Genomic DNA, 7,694 nt, shown 5'->3' with positions numbered 1-7,694 from the left:
GAATGAGGGTGGGCATATGACACAATAAGACATCAACTGGAAAAGCAAAGGGAGTAATACCAGCACTGGTATCACTGCTGGTATCACCCCCAACCCCAACACCAGGCTTGCAGCTCCAAAAGAGACCCCGTCTTTTTTCCAGAGTTGAGGAGAGGAAAGAGTGGGGAGGACTTTGTCTTTCATCTGGGATACCAGCTCAGCTACAGCAGGATAGGGAAATGGTTAGAGTCACAAGGCCCCTATTCCAAATCCTAGCTCCCAGACAATATTTCTAGGTACACCCTAGGCCAGAAGGTAACCTGCTGCCCTGAAAGAAAGGACCCAGTCCTGGCAGCATTCATCACCTGCTAGCTGAAGAGCCCTTTGGCTCATTCCAGCAGCAATTCCCAGGTATACATTGAAGGCCTTGAGTGAGCCTCTGAGACTTGCTGGCTTCAGGTGAGACTCAGCACATTACCAGTTGTCATAGCTATGGAATAAAACTCCTGCTTGAGAAAGCAGAAGGAAAAGTAAAGAGGACTTTGTCTTGTACCTCAGGTACCAACATGGTCCCATTGGAGTAGAGCACCAAGTGTGGCTCCTGAAGTCCCTGATCTCAAGACTTGACTCTTGGATCACATTTCTGGATGTGCCCTGGGCCACAGGGGAGCACTGTTCCCTGAAGGATGAGCCCCAGGCCAGGCAGCATGTACCAACAAGCTAACTTAAGAGACCTTGGGCCCTAAGGGAACATTGGCACTAGTCTGGCAGTACTTCTTACGACCTGGATTGGTGGTGGCTATGGGCTGAGGCTCCTCTGCCTTTGTAAAGGGGAGGGAAGAGTGGGAAGGACTGTGCCTTGTGGTTTGAATGCCAGCTCAGCCATAGTACAATAGAATACCAGCTAGGCTTCTAATGCTTTTGACTCTAGTCACTGACTCCTGGATGGCACTTCTGGACTGACCTGAGACCTGGGGAACCCCACTACCCTGTAGGGAAGGACACAGGCCTAGCTTGCTTTGCCACTTTCTGATTGTGGAGCCCCATGGCCTTGAGCAAACGTAGGCAGTAACCAGGGAGTGGTTATAGCAGGACTTGGGTGAGACCTAGCACTGTGCTGGCCTTAGGTCTGACCCAGCACAGTTATAGTGGTGGTGGCCACAGGGGTGCTTGTGTCACTCTGCCCCCAGTTTAGGTGGCTCAGAACAGAGAGAGAGAGAGAGAGAGAGACTCTATATGTTCGGGAGAAAATAAGAAAAAAGCAAGAGTCTCTGGCTGGTAATCCAAAGAATTATCCTGGTTCTTGTCCAAGACCACTCATAGAGGTGGTACCTCTATGAGTCTGCAAGAACCACAGCATTACTGGACTTGGGCTGCCCCTTAAAGCAAATACAGCTTAGATCACAACACCCAAGTCCTTTCAAATATCTGTAAAGCCTTCCCAAGAAGGATGGCTACAAATAAGCCAAGACACTAAAGACTTTAATAAACACCTAACTCTTTTATGCCCAGACACTGAATAACATCTACTAGCCTTAAAACCATCCAGAAAAATGTGACTTTGCCAAGTAAACTAAATAAGGCATCACAGATCAATCCTGGAGAAAGAGAGATATGTGGCCTTTCAGACAGATAATTCAAAACAGCTGCATTTAGGAAACTTAAAGAAATACAAGATAATACAGAGAAAGGGTTCAGAATTCTATCAGATAAATTTAGTAAAAAAATTGAAGTAATTAAAAGAATCAAGGATAAAATCTGGACCTGAAAAATGCAATTGACATACTGAAGAATGCATCAGAGTCCTTTAATAGCAGAATTGATCAAACAGAAGAATTAGTGAGCTTGAAGATGGACTATTTGAAAATACACAACCAGAGGAGACAAAAGAAAAAAGAATAAAAAAACAATGAAACACACCTACAGAATCTATAAAAATAGTCTCAAAATGGCAAATCTAAGAGTTATTGGCCTTAAAGAGAAGAAAAAGAAAAAGGGGTAGAGAGTTTATTCAAAAGAAGAATTATTTAGAACTTTATAAACCTAGAGAATGATATTAATATCCAAGTATAAGGTTATAGATCACCAAGCAGATTTAACCCAAAGAGGACTATCTCTAGGCATTTAATAATCAAACTCCCAAAGGTCAAATATAAAGAAAGGATTCTAAAAGGAGCAAGAGGAAAAAAAAAATGAAGTTTCAATACATCTGGCAGAAGACTTTTCAGTAGAAACCTTACAGGCCAGGAGAGAGTGGCATGATACATTTAGAGTGCTAAAGGAAGCAAACTTTTACCCTAGAATAGTATATTGGGTGAAAATATTCTTCAAACATAAAGGAGAGAAAAAAAAGACTTTCCTAGAAAAACCAAAGCTGAGGGATTTCCTAAACACCAGCTCTGCCCTACAAGAAGTGCTACAGGGAGTACTTCAAACAGAAAGAAAATTACATGAATGCACAATAAATAATCACTTGAAGGTGCAAAACTCACTGGTAATAGTGAGTAAACAGAAAAACACAGAATATTATAACACTGTAACAGTGGTGTTTAAACTACCCTTATCTTAAGCAGAAAGACTAAATGATGAACCAATCAAAAATAATAACTATAACTTTTCAAGACATAGTACAATAAGATATAAATACAAACAATAAAAAGTTAAAAATCAGAGGGACAAAGTTAAGGATTAGAGTTTTGATTAGTTTTATTTTTGCTTGTCTGTTTATGCAAATAGTGTTAAATCATTATCAGGGTAAACTAATGGGTTTTAAGATAGTATTTGCAAGCTGCATGTTAACCTGAAACTGAAAAACATACGATAGATACATAAAAAATGAAAAACAAGATACTAAACCATATCCAGATCAAATCACCTTCACTAGACGAAGGCAGGAAGGAAACAAAGAAGGAAGAGAAGACCATAAAACAACCAGAAAACAAAAAACAAAATGGCAAAAGTAACTCTTTACTTATGAATAGTAACATTAAATGTAGAAGAACTAAAAGTCCCAATCAAAAGACTGGCTGAATTGATTAAAACAAAAACAAACAAACAAAAAAAACAAGTCCAGATGATTTGTTGCCTACAAGAAACACCCTTCACCTATAAAAACAAAGATTGAAAATAAAGTGATGGAAAAAGATATTCCATGCCAATGAAAACTAAAAAAGAGCAAGAATCACTATACTTATATCAGACAAAATAGATTTCAAGACAAAGACTACAAAAAGAGACAAAAAACTCACTATATATTGATAAAGGGGTCAATTCAGCAAGAAGATATAACAACTTTATATATTTATCCAACACTGCAGCAGAAAATGAAATATTTATTAGAGCTAACAAAAAGATATGCTCCAATATAATCATAGCTAGAGACATCAACACCCCCCTTTCAGCACTGGACAGATCATCCAGACAAAATCAACAAAAAAAACCCATCAGACTTATTCTGTACTGTAGACCAAATTGATCTATTAAATATTTAGAGAACATTTCATCCAAGAACTGCAGTATACACATTCCTTTCAAAGCACATGAATTATTCTCAAGGATAGACAATATGTTACATCACAAAACAAGTCTTAAAACATTAAAGGAAAACTTGAAATAATTTAAACATCTTCTCTGACAACAATGGAATAAAACTCAACATAAATAAGAAAAATTTTGGAATCTATACAAGTACATGGAAATGAAACAATATTCTCCTGAATGACCAGTGATTCAATAAAAAAATTAAGAAGAAAATAGAAAAATTTCTTGAAACAACTGTTAACAGAAACACAACATACCAAAATCTATGGGATATAGTGAGAGCAGTACTAACAGAAAAGTTAATAGCTAGAACTGCCTACATCAAAAAGAGAAAAAAAACTTTAAATGAATAATCTAATGAGGCATCTGAAAGAACTAGAAAAGCAAGAGAAAGCCAAACCCAAAATTAGGAGAAAATATAAGAAGTATCGAGAAGAAATAAATAAAATTGAAATTAAAAAATACAATACAAAAGATAATTAAACAAAAAGCTGTTTTTTTAAAAGTTAAAAATTGACAAACCTTTAGCCAGACTAAGATAAAAGGAGAGAAGATGCAAATGAATAAAATTAGAAATGTAAAAGGAGACCTTACAACGGATACAGCAGAAATTAAAAGGATCACTATTGGCTACTATAAGCAGCTATATGCCAATGAATTGGAAACTCTAGAAGAAATGGGCAAATTCCTAGATGCATGCAACCTTGACCAAGATTGAACCAGGAAGAAATCGAAAACCTGAACAGCACAATAACAAGTAACAAGTTGGAATCCATAATAAAATGTCTCTCAGTAAAGAAAAGTTTGAGACCTATGGCTTCACTGCTGAATTCTACAAAACATTTGAAGAATAACTAATACCAGTCCTACTGAAACTATTCTGAAAATAGAGGAGGAGAAAATACTTCCCAACTCATTTTATGAGACCAGTATTACCTTGATACCAAAATCAAACCAAGACACATCAAATAAAGAAAACTACAAACCAATGTCTTGGATGAATATTGATGAAAAAAATCCTAGACAAAACACAAGCAAACTGAATTCAACAATACATTAGAAAGGTTTTTCATCATGACCAAGTGGGATTTCCTCCTGGGATGCAAAGACAGTTCAACATACAGAAATCGATCAATGTGATACATCTTATCAACAGAATGAAGGATAAAAACCATATGATTATTTCAACTGATGCTGAAAAAACGTGATAAAATTCAACGTCTTTTCATAATAAAAAGCCCTTAAAAACTGGGCATAGAAGGAACATATCTCAACGTAATAAAAGCCATATACTACAGATCCACAGCTAGTATCATACTGAATGGGGAAAAACTGAAAGCCTTTCTGTGCAGATCTGGAACACGACAAGAATGTCCACTGTCACCACTGTTATTCAACATAGTACTGGAAGTCCTAGCTAGAGCAATCAGACAAGAGAAAGATACAAAGGGCATCCAAATTGTAAAGGAATAAGTCCAATTATTCTTGTTTGTAGATAATATGATCTTATATTGGGAAAAACCTAAAGACTCCACAAGAAAACTATTAGAATTCATAAACAAATTCAGTAAAGCTGCAGAATACAAAATCAACACACAAAAATCAGTAGCGTTTCTATATGCCAACAATGAACAACGTGAAAGGAAATAAAAAAGTAATTTTACTTACAGTAGGCGTAAATAAAATTAAATACCTAGGAATTAAGAACAAAAAGTGAAAGATCTGTGCCATGAAAACTATGAATCACTGACGAAAGAAATTGAAGAGGACACCAGAAAATAGAAAACTATTTCTTGTTCATGGATTGGAATAATCAATATTGTTGAGATGTCCATACTACCCAAAGCAATCTACAGATTCAGTGCAATCCCTACCAAAATAACAATGACAAGAAATAGAAAAAATCAATCCTAATATGTACCTGGAACCGCAAAAGAGCCAGAATAGCCAAAGCTATCCTACCTAAGAAAAACAAAAACCAACCAACGAACCAACCAACCAACCAAACAAACAAACAAAAAACTGGAGCAATCACATTACCTGATTTCAAGTTATACTGCAGGGCTCTATTAACGAAAGCCAGCATGGTACTGGCATAAAAACAGACACATAGACCAATGGAACATAATAGAGTACCCAGAAACAAATTCACACTCCTTCAGCGAACTCATTTTCTACAAAGGTGCCAAGAACTCATTTTCTACATTTTCTACAAAAGTGCCAAGAGCTTTCTGGGGAAAAGACAGTCTCCTCAATAAATGGTGCTGCAAACTGGATATTCATATGCAGAAGAACAACCTGGGTCTCTATCACTCACCATGTACAAAAATAAAATCAAAATGGATTAAAGACTTACATTCAAGATCTCAAACTATAAAACTGCTACAAGAAAACATTGGAGAAAGTTTCTGGGACATTGATTTGGGCAAAAATGTCTTGAGTAATACCCCAGAAGTACAAGCAACCAAGGCAAACATTAACAAGTGGAATCACACCAAGTTAAAAAGCTTCTGCACAGCAAGAGAGACAATCAACAAAGTGAAGAGAGAGTCCACAGAATGGGAGAAAATATTTGGAGTCTACCCATCTATCAAGGGATTAATAACCAGAATATATAGGGAGCTCAAACAACTCTATAGGAAAAAATCTAATAATGTGATTAAAAATGAGCAAAAGACCTGAATAGGCTTTTCTCAAAAGAAGACATACAAATGGTAAACAGGCATATGAAAAAAATGCTCACCATTATTGATTATCACAGAAATGCAAATCAAAACTACAACAAGATATCATCTCACCCCAGTTAAAATGGTTTATAGCCAAAAGATAGGCAATAACTAATACTGGCAAGAACGTGGAGAAAATGAGACCCATGTACACCGTTGGGAATGTAAATTAGTACGACAATGGAGAACCATTTGGAGGTTCCTCAAAAAACTTAAAACGGAGCTACCATATGATCCGGCAATCTTACTGCTGGGTATATACCCCCCAAAAAGGAAATCAGTTTATTGAAGAGATATCTGAATTCCTATGTTTGTTACAGCACTGTTTACATTAGCTGAGATTTGGAAGCAACCTAAGTGTCCATCAAAGGAGGAATGGATAAAGAAAATGTGGTGCATATACACAATGGAGTACTATTCAGCCATAAAAAAGAATGTCATTTCTAACAACATGGATGGAACTGGGGGTCATTATGTTAAGTAAAAGAGGCCAGGCACAGAAAGACAGACATCTCATGTTTTCACTCATCTGTAGGATCTAAATATCAAAACAGTTGAACTCATGGACATAGCGAGTAGAAAGATGGTTACCAGAGGCTAGGAAGGGTAGTGAGGAGCTTGGGTGGAGGTGGAGATAGTTAATGGGTTTAAAAAAGTAGAATGGCAGGGCGCGGTGGCTCACACGTGTAATCCCAGCACTTTGGGAGGCAGAAGCGGGTGGATCAGGAGGTCAGGAGATTGAGAACATCCTGGCTAACACAGTGAAACCCCATCTCTACTAAAATTACAAAAAATTAGCCAGGCGCAGTGGCGGGCGCCTATAGTCCCAGCTATTCGGGAGGCTGAGGCAGGAGAATGGCGCGAACCCAGGAGGCGGAGCTTGCAGTGAGCCAAGATCGCACCACTGCACTCTAGCCTGGGTGATGAGGCAGGCAGATCACGAGGTCAGGAGATTGAGACCATCCTGGCTAACACAGTGAAACCCAATCTCTACTAAAAAAAATACAAAAAATTAGCTGAGCGTGGTGGCGGGCACCTGTAGTCCCAGCTACTCTGGAGGCTGAGGTGGGAGAATGGCGTGAACCCGGGAGGGGGAGCTTGCAGTGAACCGAGATCACGCCACTGCACTCCAGGCTGGGCAACAGAGCGAGACTCCGTCTCAAAAACAAAAACAAAAACAAAAAAAAAAAAAAAAAGAAAACAAAAAAAAAATTAGAATGAATATGAATGAGCACGGCCTACTATTTGATAGCACAATAGGAGTACTATAGTCAATAATAACTCAATCGTATATTTTAAAATAAAGCATGTAATTGGATTGTTTGTAACTCAAAGGATAAATGCTTGAGGGGATTGATACCTCATTCTCCATGAAGTGCTTATTTCACATTGCATGTCTGTATCAAAACATCTTATGTACCCCATAAATATATACATCTACTCTGTGCC

Source organism: Homo sapiens, chromosome 9 (genome assembly GCF_000001405.40).
Source record: "Homo sapiens chromosome 9, GRCh38.p14 Primary Assembly".
Classification (NCBI taxonomy): Eukaryota; Metazoa; Chordata; class Mammalia; order Primates; family Hominidae; genus Homo; species Homo sapiens.
The sequence above is the reverse complement of the archived record's forward strand: the minus strand, read 5'-3'. Positions refer to the sequence as shown.